Raw genomic sequence first — 26,522 nt, forward strand, 5'->3', positions numbered from 1 at the left:
ATCCTGGTGGTTCGGTCTTGGCATTAAGGCTTTTTTCTATCCCAGAAGCATTCTGGAGTTTGGGCTGTGCCCACCTTGTCTGGGAAGATGAGGCTGTGGGGACACCTTTACGTCAGGGTGTGTTTCTGCTCATCCCTCCTTGTTTGCTTTTAGATCAGGCTCATGGGAGATGTCTGGTGGACAGAACCCCCCACCCCCTTTAGGAATTGCATTAAGGACATGAGCTGCTAATTTTGTCGCTGTCAGTGCCTGGCAGGCAGATGGCCCTGAGCCTCAGTTTCTCCATTTGTGATGGGAAGAGAACTCCCCGCCCCATCTCCCAGGATGTGGTGCGTGTGAACAGGGCTGTTTCTGTGGGTGGTTTAGACCCCCGTGGGTGCTTGGCACTTCCTGCCTGCAGTTGGTGAGGATCGTGAGCAGTTGTAATCAGGCCTGATAGGAAGGCCCCCAACTCTACCGCGGCCTTGAGTGGCTGCCAGCTCCATGACCAGGCCTGCTTCAAAACTTGCCTGCAAGTTATTTTTTTCAGGGTGTCTGGTTCCTGTAAACAGGCTTTCCCAAACCCTCTCAGGCTCCAAGAACCCGCTTTGGCTGTGCATCCCACTGCCGTTCATGCTCCCCAGCCCAATGGAAAACCTCAAGACAATCCCACTCCATTTGGCTTCATGCAAGCCCTCCCCTCCAGCTCCCTCCCCCCCTGCCTTCCCAGGTAAGTTAGAGTGAAAGGAGGGAGTAGGAGGCTGGGATGGAGACACCTTAGAGAGAGGCTGGCCCCACCAGGCAGTCATGATGGTCTCAGGCCTGCTATGTAACACCTTTCCCCAGCACACCTACACTGGGTGGGCTAGGTGAGTGGGTTGTGCCAGGAGGCAAATGGTGAGTGTGTGTGTGTGTGTGTGTGTATGTGTGTGCGCCAGCTAGCTGCCCCCACTCTCAGGAGCCCGGTGCTGATGGTGATCTCTCTCTCTCTCAATGCAGGAACAAGGGGCTGCATTGTTAGCTAGCCTATCTCTTGGTTTCTGATTCACCCCGGGCCACGGCAGCCTGAGCAGGTTCACAGCTGCTCAGGGTTATACTTTCCAGCACATTTAGGACTTGGAACAGCCCCAGGTTTCAGGAACACATGGTGATGGGGGAGGGGAGGGGCTCAAATAGACGGGGTGTGGGGGAAGCGAGCTACTTCTTTCTTTCTTCAAGATGAATCTCCATTTTCATCATCTGATAGCAGGAACAGCATCTGAGGACGGCGGATGAATTGCAAACCTGCTCAGGTCGGGGGAGAGGGCAGGCGTGTGGGGGAGATGGGCAGATTTAGTTCATCCTGGCTGAGGTCTTCTTGTGCAGCCGTGTACCCTCTGACACACAGCTCTTGCTCCAGTTACAGCCTCTGCACAGCCAGGGCCTGCCAGGGACGCCCACCCGCGGGGCACTCTGGCATACATCTCGGAAGTCAGCCCCCAGAGTGGGCCTCTGGCTTCCAGCAGCCATGGCCAAGAGGGCAGGGAGGAGCTGGAAACCGGCCCTAAGAGGTGGGACGTGAGGAACACCAGCTTCCATCTTACAGATCGGCGGGGTCTTTTCTCTCTGTTGCTAGTGGCTGGCTAAGGAGGAAATCGAGACTATAATTTCCCAGCCTCTACCATCTCCCTATTTTCTCTGAGACAAGTAACTGCCTCACAGCAGACAGGAACCAGGTGACACTGCTGTCCCAAGCATTCTGCCCACATTCAACCACAGCCATTCATCCATCCATCTGATATCTGCTGAGGGCCTTCTAAGAGCCAGGCATGGTCCAGGTGCTGGCTTTTAGCAAGGAGCAGAACACAGTCCCTGTCCTGCAGGAGCCAGGAGAACCCACAGGAATGGCAGGCATTGACAGCACCATGTACAAGGGGCTCGGGCTGGGCAAAACCAGATTTGAGCACTGTCAGTGACTTTGAAAAGCCTGGACCCTGCTCACCTGGCAGCAGGCAGCCTCCTCCTCTGCTGCCATCTAGCTGGACAATCTGGGGCAGGGTTCTCTTGAGCCTGGTCATCTCAGCCCACCCACAGAGATGACTATAGGTATCCTGCCTACCTCCTAGGGCAGCTGAGAAACTCAAGTAAGATTTGTGCACAGAATCCCAAAATATAAAACCTTTGTCCAGCTCTCAGATTCTTCTCCCCCTTTTCTCAATGGGGTAACTGAGGACTGAGGCCTAACATGCAGGAGCCTGTATCAGAACAGGGAGGCTGCTGTGTGCTGCCAGAGATTGCCACCCCTCCCAGCCTCTCTGGGCAGTACTACACAGAGCTGGCCTCTGTGAGGGGTGCAGAGCAGCTCCGGGACTCCCACACAGAGCCCCTTTCTCCTGCGCTCTGGCCCAGAGCTCGCTCTCAGGGTCCTATAATTGAAAAGGCGACCGCAGGCCGGCAGTGTGACCTTTGGGCCTGCCTGGGCGGGTGACTGAGTTAGGCCCCCAGGTCCCCCACCCCTGAGAGGACCAGCCAGGCCCCAATTTTTCACAGACACAGCAAGGAAGGTGCAGCATGGCAGAGAGGACCGGGCTGAGCTCCTGGCTCCCAGCCCCCATGGGTCACTTGTCCCCTCTGCTCCACACTGTTCCCATTCACTATGCGGGATCAAGAACTACCACCCTCTCTTTGAGGATAGACAGGGAGAGAGGACAGGGTGTATGTCAGAGACTAGATGAGTTTGCAGCTGAATAAAAGGGTTTAAGCAGCCTGGTTAAAACAGGAAAGAGCCTCAGTACAACCTAGTCATAGTGCTGCCTTTGACTTTCTACATAGAAGTTTCTACAAAGATGGAATGTTCTAGAGTTGCACTGTCCAGTAGGACAGCCACTAGCCATATGTGACTATTGAGCACTGAGATGGAGCTGGTGTGACTGAGAAACAGAACCTTTACCTAAGTTTAAATAGCCACATGTGGCTAGTGATATCCATATTGGACATTGTAGGTCTCGCGGTGGGGGGAATGCTGAGGCTTTGGAGCCACAGAGATCTAGGTTCAAATCCTGACGCTGCAGCTGAAACTTAGCACTTCATGGCTAGGGCATGCTGCTTGACCTCTTGAGACTCAGTTTCCCCGTCATTTAACAAAATTTTTTTGTAAAGACAGGATCTCGCTATATTGCCCAGACTGGTCTCGACCTCCAGGCTTCAAGTAATCCTCCCACCTTGGCTTCCCAAAGTGCTGGGATTACAGGTGTGAGCCACTGCACCAGCCTCCCCATCATTAAATGTAGAGCTGAATAATATACTAAGTGAGCCTGGTGGGGGGCCAAGGCCCAGGGTCCAGCTCATAGGAGCTGATAGTCCATCTATTAGGACTGCTGCCTCGGCCCCTGCAGAGATCAGTCTGGTGGCTTCAGGCATCTGTGTCTAGGAGGGCTAGATTGATCCAGGCTTTTTCTTCCTATGTGTGTACTGAAGGAAGCCTGCAGGCAGGAAAAGGTTGTTTCTCCTTAGTGTGTGGAGGATTTGACAGAGCAGGTCCAGAAGTGCCAGGACAGGTTGTCAGGCTTGGACCTTCTGCTCTGTGCTCATCAGCTTCATGCTTCATAAACAGACATCCCTAGATTCATTTGGTGAGCCTGGTGGACCCAGGCTGGACAAAGATGGGATAAGAGGACATCTCCTGCCCTGGAGCTCAGCTGCCAGCTGTTTTCCTCCTAAGCTGCTGCCCATGAGCTGACTTTCTTCCTCCTACACCTGAATCAGAACTTACCTGTCCCACCTGGTAAAAATCTGCTCATTATTTGCCTGAGTGACAGCTCCTTGCCTTGGCCCAGGCACTGAGGTCTTCCTAAGATCTGGCCCTGCCCTTGCCAAGAAGCGCATCGCCACTGCACAACTCCGACAGGAGCACCAGGGACCATGAAAAAGAGGGAGCTCTGGGCTGGGTTGGCAGGTGAGATGGGGTGGGGAGAGCTCCCCAGCTGCTCTCTGAGGACAGCCACGTCCCTGGCCTTGCTCTGTGGGAGCCTCTGAGCCAGCCACCCTGGAAACCTTGGTGCTACCAGTGCCATGTCAGTGGGGGCTGCCCGGACCGAGAATCTGGGGCTCAGGACACTCAGCCCTGGGCAGCACTGACAGACCTGTCCTCATGGTGCATGGCAACAGGGGCTCATTCAGATGATGAGGGCCACTGGCCCGTGCCCCCTGGTGACAATGGCCAGGCAGGAGAGCTGGCAAGTGCCAGGGCAGCCAAGAGTCACAGAGGAAAACAGCCGTCATAGTGCCAAGGATAGTGAAGCTTGGTTTCCCCATCACCCCTTCATCTCATCTGCACCAAGTGTAATCACTCAGCCCTACTTCACAATCCCTCTACAAGGAATAGGACGGAATGAACTACACTCCATCCACAGAGGGAAACATGGAGGTTCAGTCACCTACAGAAAGTCACCTAGAGACTCTGCCTCAGGGTTCTCCCTGCCTTCTGCCCCACACCCCACCAGATCATCATCATCCTCGTCCTCCTGATCATCAACACCATTGTCATCACCATTTATTAAGTGCCTGATTTTGTGTGGAGCATGCATTGTTACATCATTTCATCCTCACTACAACTCTGTGAAGCAGGTATATTTATCCCCAGTTTACAAAGGGAGAAACTGAGGACCCAAGAAGTTATTAACTTGTCTAAAGCCACACAGCTCCCTGGAGTAAGAGAGAGGCTGTACAGCCCAGGATGTCACTCCCTGCACAGCACAACCACTCAGGAGAGAGGGGCGGGAGGGAGGAAAGGCTGGCGGGATGGTCTCTCCTCCATAACATGCCACCAAGCCCAAGACAAAGGTCTGCTGCTGGCAAGGGTGACCGTGTGGCCTGGAGGGAGGGCAGAGAGTGGACAGCGCTGGGGGAAAGCCCTGCAGAAGCATGCTAATCTGCACCCCTCCTCTCCACCCACGGAGCCTTTTCCTCCAGGCCAGCCTGTTCCACAGGAAAAACAATCTCCCCTGCCTGGGGACGTGAGGCCCTGGGGCCGGCTGGGCCACCTTCTGGTCTGTCTTCATTCAGATCCCATTTCTCTCCTCTCTGGAAGCTGGGGGAGGGAGTCACGCTGGGGAAGGCGAGGATGAGGCTAAAGTCTTCATCTGTCCCCCTTTAAGCCAAGCAAAGAAAAATAGCCCTTTGCCAAGATCTTTCATCTCAGTCATTTACTCTCGCAGATGTTTTCTGCAATATAAACAAGAAGCAAAGAATGTTGGGGAGGAGAAGAGGGCGGGAGGCGGGTAGGAGGGAAAGGAGGAGTGAATTGACAGCTTTGAAATCTGGGCCTGCAGAGGGCAGGAAACAGGACCTTGGGAGGGTCCCGACTGCCCTGAGAGCCTGGGCAACCTCAGGACACTGCACCGGGGCAAGCCAAGGGTCGCTTCCCAGGGTGTCTTTGAAAGGAGATTCTGGAGAGGCAGCCCAGCCCTTGAGTGGGTGGTCTCCCCAGACGCCCTCCCTCTGCCTGGGAAGCGACACATGGACGGCAGCTGCTGGGGCCCTATGGGCCCAATCTGGAGCCATGCCCTGCCAGGGAACACACCTGCCCACCTTAGCACTCCCCAAAAGTTCTGGGGCAAGGACGCTCAGCCTGCTGCCAATGGAGGCATCAGTAGGACTGACAAGAGATGCTGACACCTGCAATGGGCATTAGGGTGCATGCGGGGGAAAGAATCTTGAGCTGGTGGGGGTTGGCACCTCCTACAGTGGGTCAAGAAATAAACCAAGGAAATCAGGTGTCTCTGAGTTCACTGTTCTGTGAGATTCCTATTGATGTCAGTAGCTTTTAAACGAATAAGCCATGGATTACGAACTCAAATGCCAATGGGGGCTGGCAGTAACCCACAGGAGCAAAGCCAGGTGAGCACTGCCCTGACTTGAAGAAGGCTGGCCCATCTAAAGGGGGCACCACCACTCAGTTTCAGCTGGGTATTTAAGACAGCCTAGAAATCCAGAGTTCTGTATAAAGTATCCTGTTTTTAAAAATATTTGCACTAATTAAAAACAAAAAGCAGAAAAATACCGGGCTGGACACGTGAGACGTGCTGCTGAGTAGCTTTTAGTTTGTGAATCGTGGATTTGAGATTTTTGCAAAATATGCTGGTTGAATGAATAAATGCTTAGTCTTTCTGCTCTTCACTTTAAAAAGGGATTTGTGAGAAGCTTGGATAAGAATCCAATAGCAAGCTTTTATTGGGCATCTACTATCTCCCCAAAATGGAGCTAAACATTCTGATGGATTCAGAGAATCAGAGGACCTGGTCTTGCCCTTGAGGATTTACACTGTAGTTGGGAGACCGAATCAGCTCCTGGTGCAGAGCCTGGGCAGACACGGGGTTCCAGAGCATGCGGCAACAGACACTGCTCCTGCCCTCAGGGAGCTACTGTTCTGATCTGTCTCCTGTTCTGTAAAGTGGGAACACACAGGAAATGAGACCAGTCCTTGACAGTCCTTGGTTATGCGGCACAGAATGTTTAGGGGAAGGGGAGAAACTAGGCAATGCTCCCAGAGGGGGCGGTGTTTGGGCTGAACCTTGAAAGATGGGTAGGAAGAGCCACTTGTTTCCAGCTGATAAGTGAATTCTGAAACTGGCCGACTTCTCACCCAGCCAAAACATTGAGAACTCTGCAGGATCAAAACCCAGGACCACCAAAATGAGGGAGTCCTGCTTGCTAAGAAAGAGTGGCTGTCCCACATCTGCCATCAACATGTCACCAAATCGCGTATAGTGTCTCCAGGGGAAAGTCCCCTAGAGCCTTCAGGGGAAAGTCAGTGAATGGGTGGCTTGAGCGGAGCTGCAGCCACAGAGGAAGGCCAGCCATTTAGGAAGCAGTGACAGGCAGGCCTGATGTCAGCAACCTTTTTGAAAGGAAAGAGGGGGACAGATTTCACACAAGGGCCCTTGAGGGTTTCTGAGTATCCGTGGTTTCCCGTGAATGACTATAGTTTTGTGCTCCTTGCAAGGAAAGGAACGGAAAGGGAACCAACTCTGAGATTCCCACATATTCCACAAACACACTGCAGAACAGGAGAAATTATTCCCGCTTTACAGAACAGGAGACAGACCAGAGCAGTAAGCCTCCTGAGGGCAGGAACCATGTCTGTTGCTGTTGCTGCACGCGCTGGAATCCCTGGTGCCTGCCAGGGGTCTGCACCAGGGGTTGATGATGCCAAATGTGACTTGTTTGAGATCTTACAGCCAGAAGTGGCCCGGGGGAAATTCAATCCCAGATCTGCCAGACCCCAAAGCCCTGGTTCCTTCTGTGATGCTGGGGAAATCTGCATCTCCATAGATTCCCAAAGGTCACTTAAAGGAGAATGCTGGATGCTCCAAAGTTTGAAAACTATGAGCGGATGCACTCCATCATGGGTTGGTATGCCCAAGGAAGTGTTAGCATGAAGGGGGCGTGGCATGCAAACATATTCATGTGGCCAGGCATTGGAATTCAACAGAGATCCTTTGAGACAACACGCCCTCCTTTTCATGCCCGGTAGAGGTCTCTTCTCCAACAGCCCTGGGTGCGAACATCTCTAAGGGAAGCCAACTCACCACCTCACGTCCCACTCTGACTGCCAGCAGGTTGTGCTCTAGGCTGGCCCAGTTAGCCATCACCCAGTGGTCTTTGTACTCTCTTTCTGTCCTCCACCAACAAGGCTCTTCAACATGACTACCTTCCAGACACTTGAGAACCTCTCTTTTATTTGCCAGCTCTCTTATTTATCTCTTCTGCTTTTCCTTCACACATTCTCGTGTGACACACTCTCAGTCCCCTCCCCCATCCCCATGGCTGTCAGCAAATGCGATCCATTGCATTTTGCTTCTCCTTTAAAAGCAGTGCAGTGGCATTCCAAGTGGGACAGACCAGTAAAGAGGCCAGCAGGAGAAATACCTCCCTCATCTTCAACACTCTTCTTCAGTTAATGTCACCTAAGATGACACCAATTTTCTTGGTAACTGTTCAGGTTGATTCACGTCGACTTTACAGTCAACACACACCCCTGAGTCTTTCACACCTGCCCCATCCCGGGCATGTATAAAATTCCATTTGTTTAGCCCCAAGGTTCCAGATGTACATTAATCCTATTATATTTCATCTTGTTACATTCAGCCACCATGAATCCAAACTGTTTTGGGATCTTAGGAGATTCTAATTCTGTTATCCAAGATGTCAGCTGCCTCTGAAAGTTCTTCCTAGTCTCTAATAGAACTGTTGAAACAGAACGGTCATGGGAGATTCTGGGACACGGATGGAACCACCCAGCAGGCTGACATCCATCTGTTTGTTAGCAGCTTTAGGGCCACTCAGCACATCCCCAGCTGTCCCAGTGACACTGTCTCCAGCCCTCCTTGTTCTCAAGAGAGCCATGAGCTGTCTGCTCTGCTGCCTACCACAATGCCATGTGCTACCAACTTAGGAATCCTGTCTCCTCCCTCCAAAAAAGTACAGTGAGTAGTCATCTTTTTTCTTGGTAAATCCATGCTGATTCCTAACGATCATCACTTTCTTTCCTAAGCCTTCATAAGCCATCCCTTTCCTTGTAGATGAGAGAAATTAACCCTGAGTTCAAAGCAGAAGCCTTCAGACAGCTGTACGTGTTAATTCATTATGCTGGGCATCTCCATTTGCCCCTCCACAGCCACCCCATCCTCCTCCCCACTGCTCTGTACCCCAGGAAGCTGACCTTGTGGACCGCATTACTGGGCACCCTTGCCCTCTGGCTTCAGTTGGGTTCTGCCAGTGGGAGGCACCAGCAAGAGACAGGAGGGTGGGGCCAGGCGTGGTGGGTCACCCCTGTAATCCCAGCACTGTGGGAAGCCAAGGTGGGTGGATCACCTGAGGTCCGGAGTTTGAGACCAGCCTGGCCAACATGGTGAAATTCTATCTCTACTAAAAATACAAAAAATTAGCTAGGCGTGGTGGTGCGCACCTATAATCCCAGCTACTCAGGAGGCTGAGGCAGGAGAGTTGCTTGAAACCAGCAGGGTTGAGGTTGCAGTGAGTTGAGATCTAGCCACTGTGCTCCAGCCTGGGTGACAGAGTGAGACTCCATCTCAAAAACAAAGAGAGAGAGAGAGAGAGAGAGAGATGGGTGGGACAAGGTCAAGATATTTATTTATCCTCCTGGTTCTACTGTAATGGGCCCTTGCTTGGCTGTGTCTCTCCACTGCCCCTGTATCTAAGGCCATAGCCCCTGATGAATGGCTCTCTCCTCCAGATACTTTCTCTTTCACTTCGCCCCCTTTACCCTTCAGGCTCCCCCCGCTGCTAGCCCTGGAGGGCTTCATCTTTCCTTGTTAGCTTCCTTTAGCTTTACGCATAACTTGTAAGTAGTGACATTTCTAAATTCTGCTCAATTACCCCATTTGAGTGTGCCGTCTGTCTCCTGCCAGAACGCTGACCAATACACTCATATTTTGAGTCATTGCCTAAAGACTTAGGCCTAACAGTGCTAGACGTGGGAGGGAGTGTAGGTGTTGGTGAGAATAGCATAAGAGTTAAAGGCACGGAATTTGTGGTCTAACTAACCAGGATTGAACTTGATTTCCACCGCTTTCCAGCTATAGTTACTGAACTTCTCTGAGCCTCTGCTTTCTCTTCTGTAAAATGGGAGCAGTAGTCCCCTCTCACAAATTCTTTGTCAGGATTTTATGTGATTATATTTGTGAAACATTAAATTTAGCATCAGGTGCATTATAAGCACTTGATAAATGTGTTATTCTGATTATTATTAAGACAGACTCTAACCATTGAGGGTATTGCTTTGGTGCTAGAATACGCTAGCAATAAGCTTCAAGGTTTTCCTGTTTATGTCCACCAGGGAATTTGGACCTCAGGTAATCTGCCCAAATCCTGCCCAAACAGGAGTAAGAAAAAATAAGCATTGTTGTTGCTGTTATTTTATTAGCTAGAGAGGCAGTCAATTCTATCACTTATTGTCAACATAATTTTTTAGCAAAGACTACTCTAGGAGGCTGTAGTTACATTCTTTCTGACACCTTTCCCCTATCTCTTTTCTACATAATCTTAGAGTCCCCCAACCACCAAGGATGATTCCTACTGATTCAAACTAAGAAAATGTGGCACCTTTTAACCTCTGCCCTTACAGAGCTTCTCCCCACCACATCCACCCCCGCCCACAATGATATTCTTACCAAAATAAGCTCAGAAGAGAGTCTCTTAACTTTGTCCAAAAGCTAAATCTGAAAGAGGTTAAAGGTTCTCTGGTCAGTCGCATTTCACCCGACTATTTTTAGCTGATATAGGGCAAAACAAGTTTCCCCAAAGATCTGGGCCCTGTGAAAGCTGGAATTTCTGCCAAGATGGAGGAATACAGCTCTCCCTGCTGGAAAAGAGAGCACAATTCCCTCTTTCCTCACCCCGGGATACCTATTTGCTGCCAGTGAATCTCCCACCTACTCTGTCATGCTAGCATTTGATCACATTGGGTTCATATGTGCTTATTTGCTGCTCCAACCCCAATCCTTACTCCTGAGCCTTTACCACTCAACTATCAATGTGTCCACTCATCCTCTGGGCCATCTTGTGCCCTCTTATCCTCTATCTCCTGGGTCAGAAGCTTGGCAGTTTTCTGGATGTGACTCCTAATGGAAATCCATGACAAAAATGCCCTGGATTCTCAACCAGGGAGAGAAACTCCTCTTCTCAGCCTCTTCTGCCAATGTGCCCCACTCCTATTTCTCTCTCCTGAGAGCCCTAAGCCCTGCCATGTTCCTTCTGTCCTTTCAGCCCCTTTCTTCCCCTACTCACATAATGCACCAAGGGTAAGCATCTTCCTGCCCAGATATATCTGCCCTTTCACATACTCCCATGTGACTCTTTGACCTCTGTTGTTGGAATCTCTTGACTTAGAAAACCAGAGATGTTTCCATGACTTTTAAGGCTTTTGTTGGCAAGACAGCAAGGAGAATGGAGTGAGGGGCCAAGCTCAGGCTTTCTGCCTGGCCCCGGAGGGCAATGCCATGGGAAGGTGACCTCGTCACAGGCCTGGGGGCTATCCCAGTGGGATGACGCCATTGGGTACTCTATCTCAGGCTCCTCTGTTGCTCTGCCCTTCAGGCAGGATATTGAGTTTTAAGTTAAAAGACAAGGATCGAGCTTCATCTTATGATTTATGGTTTAGGCCAGGGTTTCCAAAACTGTATAAAAAGTTATTCCTGGCCAAGTTCCCTATTAGTCATATGTGTGAAGTGGAAACATCACTTTATCAGAAATATACTTCCCCCAACCCATCCCAAACTGTGTCTATAATCAGGCTCTGGAGGGAAGACACTGGTATTAGAGCTGGTGTCAGGAGAAGAACTCAAGGGAAGACGCTTTACTAATAGGACTGTATGGCCCTGGCAGTGGTGATTATACCAAACACATATGGAAAGGGATCATGGGGCAGCCAAAAGAATGATGAAAACTTCACATTGGTACTGCCCCTAGAGGTGCTTTTCCACGAATGGCTAGATTATGAATGTTTAAGCTTTCTTATTTAAGTGACCTTACTCCATCAGCACCCGTCCACTCTCTTCTGGTACCCATGCCCCTGTTTCTTGGGGAATCCCACACCATGCCCTGCTCTCAGTCCATGAGATTTCAGTGCAGCCAACTTTACCCCCAACTCAGGGTGAAGCACAGGACCCAGGCCTAAGCCAATCAGAGCATTAGATTCTCTTGGGCATAGTGATTGGTTTAGGAATGGACATCTGATCAATCAGAGCCAATGAGATACCTTAAGGTCTTCCCTAGGACTTCTGGGAAGGGGACTCACTCTTTCCCCCTTGAACCTGAAATCTGAGAGGTATAGAGCTGGAATTGCTGTCATTTTTCTGTCACATGAAACCTGACTCTGAAGCCAGCATAGCAGAGAGTAGAGCTGAGAGATTTTTCTGTCACATGAAACCTGACTCTGAAGCCAGCATAGCAGAGAGGAGAGCTGAGAGATGGAGAGTACCCAAGTCCTGATAACACATTATTTTATCCCTGAATCAATTTATATCTGATGCTGGCCCTAATTCTGGATCTTTTTGTTGCATGGGCCATTGGATTTCCCCTTTGCTAAAGCAGTTTGAGATGACTTTCTGTCCCTGGCAACCAAAGAGCCGTAGTTTACAGCTATTGTTTAAAAATACATTCCTAAGTGTAAATGGAACTAAGAGAAAGGAGACAGGGCCAGCAATAGATCTGTACTTTGCAAGCACAATCTATTGCTCAGGGGCACAGACAGAGGCATATCACATACTTAAATGTGAGGAGAGCAGTACTGGGAGGTCCTCAGACAGGAAGAGGGTGAACCCCAGGCAGGAAGTTCCATCAGCAAGCATCATGTCTTTGGAAATGAAATTATTAAACAACCAGACCATTTCTATTGAGTTTCGTTTTTGTTACACCCCTCTTGGTATGCTTAACATAGTAATAAGTATTACTGCTATAGTGAAACTCCCTTATTTATATCATCACAATTTCTATTTCCCTATTATTTACTCCCTTTTCCTATGAAATAATAAAAATATTTACTCATCATGAAATTACTTTCTCTAATTTAATCTGCTTTTCCCCCAGTGTATTATAAAGGTTCTCCAGAGAAACAGAACCAACAGGATCTCCCTCTATATATAGAGATAGATTAGATATGGATATACATATGTAGATGTGGACAGAAGTGATGTCTGCCTCTTTCAGGGTTGGCCTTTTAAAGCAACTCAGCAACCCTCCAGCTCTCTCTTCCCTGATGACAGCAATCCTGAAGTCACGTGTTTCAGGTGACATAACCACTGAGATGCAGGGGTTTATTTGCCACAGCAGCATAACCTTTCACATTCTGACTAATGTAGATGTATCTAGAGAGATGTAGCTATAGACGAGATGGAGAGAGATGGATTTAAGGGAATTGACGTATGTGACGGCGGTGGAGGGAGGTGGCAAATCTGAAATTTTGCAGGAAGTTAGGTGGACTGGAGAGCAAGTAAGAGTTGATGCTTCAGCCTTGAGTCCAAAGGCTGGAAACTCAGACAGAATTTCTGAAACTCAGGCAGAATTTCTGTTGCAGTCTGGAGGCAGAATTCCTTCTTCTTCAGGAAACCTCAGCCTTTGCTCTTCAGGCCTTCAACTGATTAATGAAGTCCACACCTATTTTGGCAGTTTCTCTGCTTTGCTTAAAGTCAGCTGGTTGTAAATGTTGACTTTATTGTAAATCAAATATAAAAACTACCTTCACAGAAACATCTAGACAAGTATTTGACCAAATAGCTGGGCACCATAGCCTAGCCAAGTTGACACATAAAATTAACCATTACATCCAGCTGGAGCCAATATTCCCCCATGCTCCTCCATATATTAGTGAGGGTTCAGCTTTGGATTCCCAGGCCAACACTAAGGTAGACACTGCAAATAATGAACCCTTGACAAAGCTCTGTTAGTTCCCAGATGGAAGAAAATTAATGATGATTGCTCAATTCAGTCTGGACAGAATGCTTTACTATTTCTGTTGTGGTTAAAGTATGTAAGTCAGCTCTTATTTATTATATCTCCATTGGTTTACTTTTCACTGTTTGAGGAATTCTCCTCCCAGCTACCATGCCAGAAAAACACTTACACCCTGCCCCGTGGATCCCCAAAAACTAAGGATGTATCCACAGACCTAACTGAAGGCAGATCAGCCTTCAGTAAGGTAACTCCAGCAGGAGAAAGCATTTTCCCCGTTGTGAGGCCTGTGGGAGATCCTCATCTGAGGCAGATGTAAAGAAGCACTTCCCTGGCCTGGGTCTGCTGGGAAACAAGTGATTACCAATCCTTGTGCTGTCCATGAAAGGGCCTCACCCCTGGCTGCTGAGGGTCTGGGAAATATCTGCTTCAATGAATACCCAGGTGCTCATTTTTCTTCTCCCCAGTTACCTGCTAAAGGCTCCATCTTGACATCAACCCTGGGGTCACCCTCCAGGATACTTCCTCGAAGCAGCCACATTCCTGGGGGCATCTGTGCCAGCAGGGGATGGTGGGATGGCAAATCAGCAAGTTCTGTCAGTCCTCAGCACCACTCTGTCCACAGCCTCATGAGAGTTTTGTCTGAGGACCTTCATTAGGCTTCAGGGCCTGTGGCTGATGACTCCAGGTCAAAGCCCCAGATGATACCTGCTCATCGAAAACCACGCATTCCACTCCACTTCCCGGCCTCCCCTGCCGTTAGGTGGAGGCCATATGACTAGATCCTGGCCAAACGGATGTGGACAGAGTCATGTCAGCCACTTTCAAGGCTTGTCTTTAAAAGCATCACAGCAGCCCTCCAGCTCTGTCTGTGATGGCAGCAATCTTGAAGCCACATTTCAGGTGGCATAACCATTGAGACATGGGGATCTATTTGTCACTACAGCAGTAGCCATTCCCATTCTGACTAAGGTAGAGCATAAAGGAATTATGATCCATGGCTCCCCTCTGCCGCCCGAGTCATCTCACAGATGGCGGGCTGTTCTCCTGCACCCCCAGGCACGCTGATCCGTGACATCTCTCCCAATCGCTGGTTAAATGACCTCAGACACCTGCTGTGCTGAAGGTGACAAGTCAGGGGCAGCATCTGCATGTCTGAAGCAGCTCAGGATCTTCTCTGTGCCCAAATCCCCAAGAAAAGTCTAAAACTGGTAAAGTAATTGAACCAAGATGGGTTTTCCCGAAAGACCTTTTACAGCTTTGAGCTCATTAAGGAAAGAAAGAGGATTTCAAGACCTAAACAGTGCTGGATTCTTTCTATTTTAGTTGAAGTTGAAAAGACGATATCTTTGCTAGAGTCCAGAAAGAGTCTTACCTGTTGAAAACTCATGCAACTTAAAGTTCCTTCATCACGGAGAGCCTACCAGGCCTGCCACGTGGCATGACCCATGGATGTGGGTGGGACTGCTTGGTATTTTCAGACTGTTGGAAACAGTGGCCTCTTGATCTCAGAGAGAGCCAAATTAAGCTGATTTCACTATTTATAATCCCTCCGGAAATAAGCAAAGAAGAGAAGTCTAATTGCAAACAGACTGAACTTTACATAGGAAATATGTAGGCCCCCTGAGGCACCTAGAAAGTGTCTAAAGCCCTAACTGCCTCCCTGCCTCCCCTGCTTCCCTCTCCAGAGCACGTAGGCCACATCTAGAGAGGCCTGAGGCTGCAGAATGGCCCTGGACTGGCCAAACCAGCCCAGCCAGCCCCTTGGGCCTAGGGGCAGGGACTTTTGGATGAGAAACAGGAAGACATTTGCCCACAGCTTGAACCATGGCTTTGGGAAGACTCTTTGTTCTTTCTTCCCCATTATTTTGGGTTTTCTGGTCTTTATTCCGTGCTTGTCAAATTCCAGGCATGCAAGGCTTTCAAACACACTATCAAACCCGCCACTTACACACACACACACACACACACACACACACACACTCCCCACCCCCATTGCATTCCCATCACAATCACATTTGTAGCAGAGCCCTGGGATTTGTAACCAAGTGGGGCCCAGTAAGAGCTTTGTGAAATTTCACATGGCCCCTGGCCTTCTGTAACAACTCCAGAGCTAAAGCCCCAGCCAGAACCCTGGGCCTTGCTGGCAGCTGTGCTGCCGGGTCACTGTGGGAGATGAGACAAGGACCTGCGACCTGCTGTGCCTCAGTTTCCCTGCCTGTCAGTTTGGACAACCATGACTGCAGCTAATTCTGAATTGTCTGCCTGCTGGTGGGACCAGGCCCTGGTGGGGGGCTCAGATTAATGGCACGGAAGTCCCAGAATGAGTCAAAGAAGAGAGAGACCAAAATAGATCAGGAGCCAAGCGCCCAGAATGGCAGCCAGAGAAGATTAGACACGCTGCCGAGAGAACCGTCCCGATGACTTTATTGAGGGCTCTTGCTCATAAACAGCCACTATGTTATTGTAACTTCCACAGACCAGGCCGACCCTTCCTTGTGACGGGAAGTTTGGGATTGGAACCGTCCGTGGGCCCTGCTGTTGCTGAGGTCACCCTGGGAGCTGGGGCTCTTCCAAAAGGAAATCAGCATGGGGCTCCGGGGCTTGGTGGAACAGTGGACAGATGGATGGTTTTTGAGTGAGAAAGTCATGGTTAGGAGTCAGGGAAGAGTGGCAAGTGCCCCCCGGCCCACCCCTCTGCAGTTCAGCTGGTGGGACTAAGTCTTTCTTTATGGGCATTTCTGCTGAAAAGTCCTTCCTCCCTTACATTTGCTTCTTGGTCTCATGAATCCAAGGAGAGGGCACTAGGCCAGGGTGACAGATGTGGAAAAAGCCCAGAACTGCTGCCATAGTTCCCATCCCTGGGAGCCTCCAGTCCCCAGCCATGCCCAGCAATGGCTTTTCCTCTCACATCCTGACCCCTCACATCCTCTGTCTCATTGCACAGCCCTTGCCCTCCTGGCCACTTGCTACTTTTAATCCTCCTCTCATGTGGAGAGCAGCCCTGGCAGGTCCATCCACTCTCATCTTCCACTGGAGTGCTTCAGGCAACAATGGAAAAACTTAAGTTTGCCAGCAAAGTGGTCGAAGGCCAGAACTTGTCCATTTGAAGATAGAGACACAAATATCTCATTTCAGTACCAAAGACCCTTTCTTTCTTATCACTGCCAGCTCTCCACCACCCATCCATCTCCTGCTCATCTCTGCTGGAAATGCTACTAGCCAAGGCGAGCCAAGCCAAACAGCTGTTTGTGGGCTCACAGACCCTCCAAGGATAAGGGTCTCTTCTGTGATGACCAGATTGCACCCTGATGCCAGCCAGCTCCTGGCGTCTGCTGCTGGCCCCCCCAAGATGGTAGCCTGGGGAGATACAGCCCAAACGCCTGATCCAGTCTCTTCCCAGTCTAGCTCTGTTGGCAAAATGAAACTCCCTGCCAAGGGAAAGCCAGTTTGGACTGTCCAAGGGGCACCCATGATAACTGGGCAAACCATCCATCCTGGGTTGGTCCGTGTGCTTTGAGACTTACACTAGGTGGGCCAGTTGAGGAAGGAGATAGGAGGAAGAAGTCCAAGGCAAATGTCAGATTTTTAGACAAGCCACTGCTGGCAACATGTTTTTATTTGGAAAATATTGCACAGGAACTTACAGTGAAAAAGAAGCTTTCAAAGCCCTACATAATGTAACCCTATCCTACCACATCTCCAGTTTGCTGTACCATGCCCTCCCCTATGTGGATTCACCTTGGCCAGACATACAAACCCACCCCCTATCCTCCTCCATCCCTGCTCTTTGTCCTTGCTCATTCCATTCCCTTTGCTTGAAATATCTGTCTAGACTGTGCCCATCTTCTAAGTGGTCCAGCTTCAACTCTGCTCTCTCCCCCAACACCCCGCCTCCGACAACCTCTGGGGAGCATGGAGTTAACATTGCCCCTCCTGTGCTCACTGCATTTTTTGCCTACCATAGACAGTTTAATTATTGAAAACCGCCTTGTATGTTCTGTTTCAGATATGTTGGCTTTAATGAATCTGTGTGTCCCCTAACCTTGTCTCAGAATTCCTTATATGCCCCAAGGATGCCTCCACAGTGCTCTGAACACTGTAGGGCCTTAGGAAATACTGATGGCTTTGACTGGTTATCAAAAAAAAAAAATGTAAGTGATCAAAAAGATGCATAACCAGGAAGAACTATAATGTTCAGCAAAAACTGCGAGAGTGGTTCCAGGTGCTGCCTTCTTGGGGTCAGTGGTATAATGGGTTTTCCTTTCCAGACAGTCCCTTGATAGTCCTAGAATCCCACAGGACAGTTGGGTGGACAGTGTCCAGCAGGCAAACAAGACCATAAACGCAAAGCCAGAGAAGCTAAACAATGTTCACTTTACAACTCCAGGTGATGATAATGGTATTTATAGACTCAGTGACATGTTTGAAGCTGTGAGTCCCAGAGGCTAATATTTTAAGCTGGATATCCTGAGACCCAGACGTTCTGTTTTTGTTCTCCTCCCCATCCTTCCCTCCTGTAACCCCTGGAACTTTCCATGCAATCTGGACAAAAGCATGAAACCTCTATTGTTTCTCAATCCTTACTAGTGCTAGGGAAGGATTTAAGAACTGCTTCATGGAAGGGTGACTTGTGATGAGTGGAAAACATTCTGAGGCCTTAAAATGACATTTGCCATTACACCAAAACTTCCATCAGAGAATTTCAAAATTCTAGGCAGAGACAAGGGCCTTTCTGCCGTCAGAGAACTCCAATGGTAAAGGAGCTGGGGTTTGGAAGAGTGAGGCCTTATTTATAGATGAACTCATCTTGGCCAGAGGTTCTGGAGAGTCTAGGTCCACCTATTTAAGAACTTTCTTTCTCTCAGGTCCATTTTTATATTGGATAATCATTCCTGAGGCAAATCTATAAACAAAGGGTGGGAACCTAAAACTTGGCTAGTTATATAGCCCAGAATAAAATGGGGAAATCAGTGTTTTCCTTCAAAGCAATCTAGAAAGCACTAGCCAAAGAACAAATTGCAAACAGCTACACAAGCATCAGGGAAATCCCATCGATCATAAGAGATGGAAAATAACCATGAGATCATTGCACTCATCTCCCCTGGGGCCTGGACATCCAGGATGCAGCTTCATGGTGTCCCTTCAGAGGGTGTTACAGGCATTACCTTTCTCTTGCTTTGCACTGTGAATCGTGCTCCTGATTAGTCTGCAATACATCCCCCTGAAGACAGGCAGCAACCACAGAACACAGTACCTCATGCATAGGAATTAAGTCCAGAACATTCTCTACTAGGTGGGTTTTTTGCTGTTTGTAAACAACTCTAGATGTTCATCCACAGTTCACTCAACTGTGCTGACTGGTTTCATGCACTAGCCAGAATTGGTCAAACTTAAACATGCACAAAATCCTGTAGTCACTTTAGGCCCAAGTCCAACATTTAGAAGCTATCAACACAGGAAAAAAGTTGTACCTGTTTTCACGCTGAGAAAAGCAGATAGCTAATCTGTACCAGGAAAACAAACAAGAAAAATGATCTGAAAATAACTTGGAAGGTTTTGTTTTCACCAAAGGAAGCATAAATAGTGAAACACATACACATAAGACATGCATGTACACACATATATATACATGCACACACATACACACATTGTATGCACACATATACATAAACACACATACATAAACACACTGTACACACAAATATATACATGCACACACATACACACACATACTGTATGCAAACATGTATACATGCACACACGTACACATACTGTATGCACACATATATACATGTACACACATGCACATACTGTACACACATGTATGTACACACATATGTACGCGCACACACATACACATACATATGTACACACATATGTATGCACACACATACACATACTGTACATACACATATGTACATGCACACACACACGTACACATACTGTGCACACACATATGTATACATGCACACACATACACATACTGTGCACACACATATGTATATGTGCACACACATACACATACTGTACACACATCTATACATGCACACGCATACACATACTGTACACACATATATATACATCCACACACGTACACATACACATACTATATGCACACATATATACATGTACACACATACACATACTGTACATACACATATGTACATGCACACTCATACATGTACACATACTGTGCACACACATGTATACATGCACACACATACTGTACACACACATATGTATATGTGCACACACACACATACTGTACACACACATCTATACATGCACACACATACACATACTGTACACACATATATATACATCCACACATGTACACATACACATACTGTATGCACACATATATACATCCACACACATATACACATAAACACACATACTGTACACAGGTATACGCACACTTGCATATATATACATGCATACACACATACACACACATATACAATACTGTACACACATATATACACACATACTGTATACACATATACATCACATACACACATATACATACATATATACGTGTACACACATATGTATACACACGTACACACTATATACACATATATGCACACATTTACGTATATACTTACATATACACACGTGTTTTCCTCCTAATTACAAAAATAAATACAGAAAAACACTACTAGAAAACAACATGTTATTGTGTTCCTTCCAGAATTTTTCTATGAGTAGTCACCTGTATTCTAATGTATCATACATATTATATGTTACATTATGTATCGTATAATATATAAATGAGGAGGTATATAGAAGTCTTTTTAGATATATTTAATGAATATATATTTTAATTAAAATTTTATATAACATATAATGTTACCAATTTTATTTTTTTATTTCTATCCTAAGGTAACATACTGGTTGTAGAAAGTCAGAAAATGTGTATGAGTAAAAGAAAAAGTGAAAATCATGCATATTCTCAGCATTCAGAAAAGAGTACTTTCATTTGTTGTATGCCCCCCTCACTTATTTAAATATACACCCCTAAGTATAAAATGGGAAGTCCCATTACACAGGGGTATGTGTGTAATGGGGCATATGTTCCATAAGTAGACCAGGGGTATCACCAATGAGCGTCTTAAACCACTGTTCCCTCTTTCCCTTGTAAGGCATGCCATGCTATGGTTTCCCAGCCACAGACCCACTTCTCCCTGTGGAAGGGGACGCCACCTGGACGATGGGCCGCTGCTCAGCCTTGGGGGTCCATGCTAACCCTCTTGAGTTGCTAGAGGCTTTGTGGAAAGACTTCTAAATTTTAAAATCTTCCTTTAAAGTGCCAAGTCAGATGGTCTGATAATGGGACTTTACCATAAGCCATAGTTCAGAAAAGACAGTCGACAGCCTAATAAAACTTCCCCTCAGATAGCAAGGGAAAGTAGACAGCTCTGCCCAGCCTGGAGGAGAAGCAAAGGAGAGAGAGGACAAAGGTAGCAGGTAGACAAGCAAGGCCTCTCCTGCCTCCCTTTCTTGGGATGATTATCTCAGGGACTAGGGTGTCAGTAACAAACACAGGGAGTTGGGGAGGGGTCTAAAACAATCTGGGTTAGGGCTCTGCTTTTCTGAGACATAGTTTGAGGAGAATCCAAGTCTCCTGAACTTATCTGGCACAGATCCAACATGGTGCCACAGGATGGTTTAGGAATGACAGAGGGAAGTGACTCAGTGTCCAGGCAAATGGGCATGAGACGGCCCTCCTATTCTCACAGCTTGCTTAGGCATCTAGGATATGCCTGATTCCTTTTTGGCCCCCAACACAGTAACACAAAGTGCTAAGAGAAGGCCTGGGGTTGAACAGGCCACAGTTCTTCTCAACCTTCCATTCTAAGTCAAAGGAGAAGAAATACAGCTAATACACTCACTTTCCAATGCTGTTCAATTCCATTTGATGGAGTTCCCACCTGCCTTGAGGAATAAACTGTCCTTCAAGTTTAATTCATTCTATTCCATTGTGGTACACACATCAGATTAAGGTAGATACTGGGGGACTCCAGAGATGGGGACAATTCCACAGACACTGTGCCATTGCCTTGGGCCTTCAGAGCTCCGAGAGGGTTAGCCCAGGCATTGTTCTCTCATCCTATTTCTAATGGTCTTTATCTTCTCCCTGCTCCTCCAGCCCAGCCACATCCTCTTCTCAATCCTCCATCTCCACCTGCTTCATTCAACCTCTCTTCCATCCCCTGCTTCTGTGAGCCTTGGAGTGCTTATGGCAGTAGTCAACCTAGGGCAGATAGGGCCAGGCCTTGAGGCTATGGTGAGAAAGTCAGAAAAATGGAACTAGAATGATAATTGGGGTGGAACATGAATAATAATACCTACTATCATTATTACTATTATTTCACTTATAATGATTCTTACTATGTGCCAGGCACTGGTTTAAGCATTTTACATGTATAGTATGAGCTCATACACTTGTGTTAACTCATATAATTAACTCAACTCAAACGCATGAGTTCATACTGCATATGTTACAGCCTATGGGGTAAGTGCAACTATGATCCCACTTTAGAGACGAGGAAACCTAGGCACAGAGAGGTTAAAGTGCCTTGCCCTGGGTCATTCAGCTGGTACATGGAAGCTAGAACCCCACCACAGCAAGCTGGCTGTAGACCCTCATAGTAAGCCACATTTGGGGACACCAAGCAAGCTAGACCAAGGCAAGTGGCTGCATTTGGTTTGGGAATGCAAGCTGACCCACGGAGGTCCCAGAGGATCAGAAACAATCCATAATAACTTTTAGGAGATTTGCTAGAAGGCAGGGAGTTTAGAGTGTCTGTGGCTCCTGCTTTGTAGTTCTGGAAACTAAAGCCGGGGAGTTAGGGCTACGTGACATGCCTGCAGTTGCAAGAAGTAGCTGCAAGAGAGTGGAATTTGCATCTGCACTGCACACTAGGTGGGGCAGAGCCAACGTTCAGGAAGGTGTACATGTCTACACCTGCACAGGCGCTTCTGGAGGAGGCAGGTGTGGCAAGCCCCCTGCTGAGGAATCCAGCCAGGGAAGGCATCCTTTGTCTTGCTCTGGTGGCTTTCAAGCAAAGAGCCCAGTGTGTTTTGCAGGCGTCCATTCATGAGCTTAGCTCCTGAGCTGCACTGACTGGATGACGGGCGTCCCCGCCCAGGAGCCAGAGACTGTGTCTCCACATGCAGGCAGGGCCAGCGTGAGGTCAGGATTAACCAGAGAAGCTGTGCTCTTCTTGCAGCGCCACACTAGGCTGGGCGGGGGGCCTGCTGAAGTGACTGGTCCTTGGAAGCACAAAGCGTGGAGCTCCCACAGCCAAAGGCCCCAGAGGTTCATCATGAGGGGCTTGTGAGGGGAGCCAGCTATGCTCCCCCCTGTCATAGATGAGGAAACTGAGGCTCAAAATTAAAGCTGGAAAATGATTTCTGGAACCTCAAATCAAGTCTACTGTCCCCTATTCCAGGTCTATCTTCCCATATACCATGCTGTTTTGGGTACCTATGCCATTTAAAATATCAAGCAGAATGGGGACTTCTTGAGCCTAAATCAGGCTCACCCTGGGGAACAAGTTCAGAGGACCCCATCAGTATCCAGGGCAGAATATTCATTTGCCCAGTGATGGATGCATTTGGGCCCCGCTTGGAGGCGGGAGAGATTCCTTGCGCACCCTGCTATTGCACTGCTGCTCCGGCCCGGGCCTCTTCACATTGGACATAACATTTTCATACGTGCTCCCTCCAGTATGTAGTGTCTCTTCTCTTCCAAGCCCCTCTCCTTTAGATGCCCACTGAAAACCCATCTCCTGTAATGAAACCACAACTATCTTCCTGGAAGTAAAATTACATCACCTCACCCGTTTGCCCTTTTGCTCCTCCTTGGTTCTAAACCCTGTAGTTCTCAACTCAGGGTATCTTGTGAAACCTTGTGTCCTTTATTCTTGGGCATGGCTTCAGCGTGGGTGTCCTCCCCCGTATATACTGTCTTACGTGTTGAGGCATGTTTGTGGTTATTTTGCCCAAGGGAAGACACCATCCGTGTAGTAAGGCATTGGCGTCATTCCAGTGGCTTCTGGATCTAGCTAGGGCCATGATGGTGTCAGTCCCCATGCTACAGCCAGGTCCTCTTGGGTAGGTGTTACTGCTGTAGGCCTCTTTGCAGGGCCCCATTGCAGGCTGATAAGATGCCATCCGAGTACACAGAGGTCTTCTGCAGGCTGGCCTTTTTCCCAGCTCTTCCAGCTGTGTTTTTCCCCCTACCCAAATGCTCCAGCTCCACCTCCACCTCCATAGTGCCATGAATACTGGCTCCCTTTCCCGTGCCAGGCTCCGTGCTAAGCATTCGCCATGCTTTATCTCGTTAACCTGCACTACAACTTTAAGAGGTGGATATTTTTATCCACATTTTACAGATAAGGAATATGAGACTCAGAGATAAAATAACTTGCCCAAGGTTACATAGCTAATAAATGGCGGGGCCTGGATTTGAACCACCACGTTCTTAACCGCTGAGCTCCACCACCTCGTTCAGTCCATGTCGGCTGGTCCATGGCCCATCCTCAGAGACGCCTGTTTTTGCAGTGAACACCCCCTCAAGTCTTTGACAACACCCTTACCTCCTCGGTTTACCCTTGTGTGCCCTGAGCCAAATCTGAACCTGTTGAGCTTGATCAAAGAATGAATTGTTATTTGAAAGAGAAAACAAAAGGTGAGGATGACTCACTTTACGCTCTTCTTTGAGCCACTATTTATTGAGAGCTTTCTGTGTCTCTAGCACTGTTCTAGGTCTCACATTAAATAAAAACCCCTGCCCTCACAGAGATTACAGTCTAGTGAATTAATAGCATGCCTAGTGCTGACAAGCTGTAAGAAGAAAGGCCCATCCAGAAGGAGGAGTGAGGGCCCTGGGAAGTAGGGGGGTGGCTGCCTCCCTGCCCTGGCAGCTGAGGGATGACCTGAGGCCTCAGCTTTTCATGGGGATGGGTCTTGTTCCAAGGCAGAGAGTGCTGGTGAGGCCGTGAGGGTTTCAGGGGCACAGAGGTCTCCAAGCCTTCTCATTTCTGCTGGTGGTGATATGGAGCCCTAGGTCTAGGCAGAGGCAGTCCATCTGGAACTCTAGCTTCTGTGGCATGAAATGGCCTTGTTGAACATGATAGTGTATACAGATTATCTCCAATTATCAGTGAGTGAAGGAGCCCTTTACGAAATTTTAATTCTTCCCCTGCCCAGATGCTCCAGCTCCACCTCCACCTTCACAGGAATCATAACCAGATTTCCTCTTCTGACCCACCTCTTCCCTTCTCCCTTCTCCCTCCTCCCTGCCCCTGCCCCCACCCCCTCAAATTGGTCTGGCCTAAGGCCATGCAGAGTAATTAACCTAAACCCAACAAATATAATTAGAAAAGTAAATATGTTAGCCAAAGCAGTCTTATACTATATTTCAAAATCAAATGTAAGTAATGTAAGTACACGGTGGGAGGTGCAAAGGCTTCCCGAGCACCAGGTCCTTTGCACCTATCATCTCCTTAAACTAACCCTCACTGCAAACTTATGATCTAGGCTTTATCCTCCCCATTTTGTAAGTTTAAACAAACAAACAAACAAACAAACAAACAAAAAACCCCAGGCTTAAAAAGGTAAAGTAACATTACCAACATTACATAAATGTCAAGGTTGAGTTTTTAACCAAAGTATGTCTGACCCACAAGTCTGTGGTAGTTCTGTTCCCATCTAGTCCCAGGGCAGCCATTTATGCAGAAACAGTAACCTTGGGCAAACTACTTTACCTTCCACTGCCTCAGTTTCCCATCTGTAAAATGGGCCCAATGCTGATAGCTAACTTTCCCCTCAACCTCAGTTCTGTTCTGGTGATCACATGAACTGGTGTCTAGGAAAGGCCACAGAACTTTCAGGTACTGTGAAAATACAGTATTAATCCTACCCTTGAATTTAGAAGTGATTATGGCTTTTCCACCATTTAACCTTGTTGGTATCCAGTTCAGCATATCTGGTTTATTTTTCACATTCCTGTTCTGAGGGTAGTCTCTGGCTGCTGACTGTAAAATCTGTGTTGCTCTCTCTCCAGGAATTAGCATCTCCTCTTCCACAGCTGTACTTCAGCTGTACCTCAGGCCCCTGATTGCCAAGTTGTAGGTGTTCTATAACGTTCTTTCTTCTGGAATCCCAAGCGAGTAGTCCATATGCACTTCTTTCCAGTAGTGTGCTGGTAAATGTTTAACAGCTGGGTTTCCAATTGTGAATCTGATGTGAATGTTGGTTAATAATTACATCTACAATAATAAGTAAGATAAAAGTGAAACAACAAAGACGCATTTTGGAACTTCACTGGTTTTTTTTCCATATGAGCCACTTTTTTGCTGAATCAGGTAATCGTTTTCAAAAACTAGAAAAATATTACCTCAATATATTATGTGATTCACAATGTCACTGCTACAGACACGGCACACTTTTACGTCTAATCTTACTGTATTAACATTTTCTCTAGCACTTCCATAAGTCTAGATAATCAACACAACAATAAATCAAGCCCTGAGTATAGAGTGTGCCAATTTCTGTGGTGTAAATATTCTCACCACGGCCAATTTCAAGCTACCAATGTGATGTTACTGACTGTGGAATTGGGAAGAGAGTCAGTAGTATACTACGCTACAGTCTTCCCACCATATGTGTAATAAACATAACTCAAGCACATAGATGATAGTAAACTGTAGTTTAAAAAAATTAGGATCTGATCTGTTGTTAGTATTTATTACCTTTTTAAAATATAATTAATTATATGTTTATATCATTTAATTTTTAACAATGGCTGTGTTCCACAGCCAGCTTGCAAAATTCCTGAAAATTTACCAATCAGCTTTCACAAGCCAATGCAAGCTTCAGCACACCACCGTCCCGTTCCTCTTCCCGTTAGCCCAGATGGGTCCCATGCTATCTGATGGCCACACCCTTTGTTAAATAGCTCCAGTTAGTCCTGATCCACGCAAATCAAGAGAACATTAGTCAATGCCCAGTTTCTCCAAATAAACAACGTCAACAGCTTCAGTCCAGTGGAGTGACTTAATGATCTGTTTCCTTCAATA

The 26,522-nt window shown here is 47.6% G+C and overlaps 1 protein-coding gene and 1 long non-coding RNA gene across 3 annotated transcripts in view, besides 7 other annotated features; one reads left to right on the plus strand and one right to left on the minus strand.

Annotated features, from left to right (window-relative positions):
- Window positions 1-26,522, plus strand: part of RAD51B (RAD51 paralog B) — an 863,318-nt gene that overhangs the window by 834,472 nt on the left and 2,324 nt on the right. The window lies entirely within an intron of this gene.
- The window catches only part of RAD51B-AS1 (RAD51B antisense RNA 1), a 49,673-nt gene that overhangs the window by 18,483 nt on the left and 4,668 nt on the right, over window positions 1-26,522 (minus strand). Inside the window, exon 3 of one of the 2 annotated variants that reach the window (XR_007064221.1) lies at window positions 20,224-25,712. The exons of the other annotated variant lie outside the window; for it this stretch is intronic. This is a non-coding gene — a long non-coding RNA (RAD51B antisense RNA 1). Of the gene's footprint in view, window positions 1-20,223; window positions 25,713-26,522 lie in introns of those variants that run through there. 2 annotated transcript variants of the gene reach the window in all.
- Window positions 3,834-3,962: a silencer, noted in NCBI's record as "fragment chr14:69124801-69124929 (GRCh37/hg19 assembly coordinates)". NCBI's record gives its function as "represses an EF-1alpha promoter that drives an FKBP-Casp9 reporter gene in an ReSE screen in HepG2 liver carcinoma cells {active_cell/tissue: HepG2}" and the evidence as "EXISTENCE:reporter gene assay evidence [ECO:0000049][PMID:32094911]".
- Window positions 9,132-9,321: an enhancer, noted in NCBI's record as "active region_8611". NCBI's record gives its function as "activates an Ori minimal core promoter by ATAC-STARR-seq in GM12878 lymphoblastoid cells {active_cell/tissue: GM12878}" and the evidence as "EXISTENCE:reporter gene assay evidence [ECO:0000049][PMID:35858748]".
- Window positions 15,187-15,687: an enhancer, noted in NCBI's record as "H3K4me1 hESC enhancer chr14:69136154-69136654 (GRCh37/hg19 assembly coordinates)". NCBI's record gives its function as "activates a minimal SCP1, AML or CMV promoter by ChIP-STARR-seq in naive H9 embryonic stem cells {active_cell/tissue: H9 hESC(naive)}" and the evidence as "EXISTENCE:reporter gene assay evidence [ECO:0000049][PMID:30033119]".
- Window positions 15,688-16,188: an enhancer, noted in NCBI's record as "H3K4me1 hESC enhancer chr14:69136655-69137155 (GRCh37/hg19 assembly coordinates)". NCBI's record gives its function as "activates a minimal SCP1, AML or CMV promoter by ChIP-STARR-seq in naive H9 embryonic stem cells {active_cell/tissue: H9 hESC(naive)}" and the evidence as "EXISTENCE:reporter gene assay evidence [ECO:0000049][PMID:30033119]".
- Window positions 17,802-18,096: a silencer, noted in NCBI's record as "tiled region #15027; HepG2 Repressive non-DNase unmatched - State 23:Low, and K562 Repressive non-DNase unmatched - State 23:Low". NCBI's record gives its function as "represses a minimal TATA promoter and a strong SV40 promoter by Sharpr-MPRA in HepG2 and K562 cells {active_cell/tissue: HepG2 | K562}" and the evidence as "EXISTENCE:reporter gene assay evidence [ECO:0000049][PMID:27701403]".
- Window positions 22,075-22,575: an enhancer, noted in NCBI's record as "H3K4me1 hESC enhancer chr14:69143042-69143542 (GRCh37/hg19 assembly coordinates)". NCBI's record gives its function as "activates a minimal SCP1, AML or CMV promoter by ChIP-STARR-seq in naive H9 embryonic stem cells {active_cell/tissue: H9 hESC(naive)}" and the evidence as "EXISTENCE:reporter gene assay evidence [ECO:0000049][PMID:30033119]".
- Window positions 22,576-23,076: an enhancer, noted in NCBI's record as "H3K4me1 hESC enhancer chr14:69143543-69144043 (GRCh37/hg19 assembly coordinates)". NCBI's record gives its function as "activates a minimal SCP1, AML or CMV promoter by ChIP-STARR-seq in naive H9 embryonic stem cells {active_cell/tissue: H9 hESC(naive)}" and the evidence as "EXISTENCE:reporter gene assay evidence [ECO:0000049][PMID:30033119]".

Source organism: Homo sapiens, chromosome 14 (genome assembly GCF_000001405.40).
Source record: "Homo sapiens chromosome 14, GRCh38.p14 Primary Assembly".
NCBI classification, from domain to species: Eukaryota; Metazoa; Chordata; class Mammalia; order Primates; family Hominidae; genus Homo; species Homo sapiens.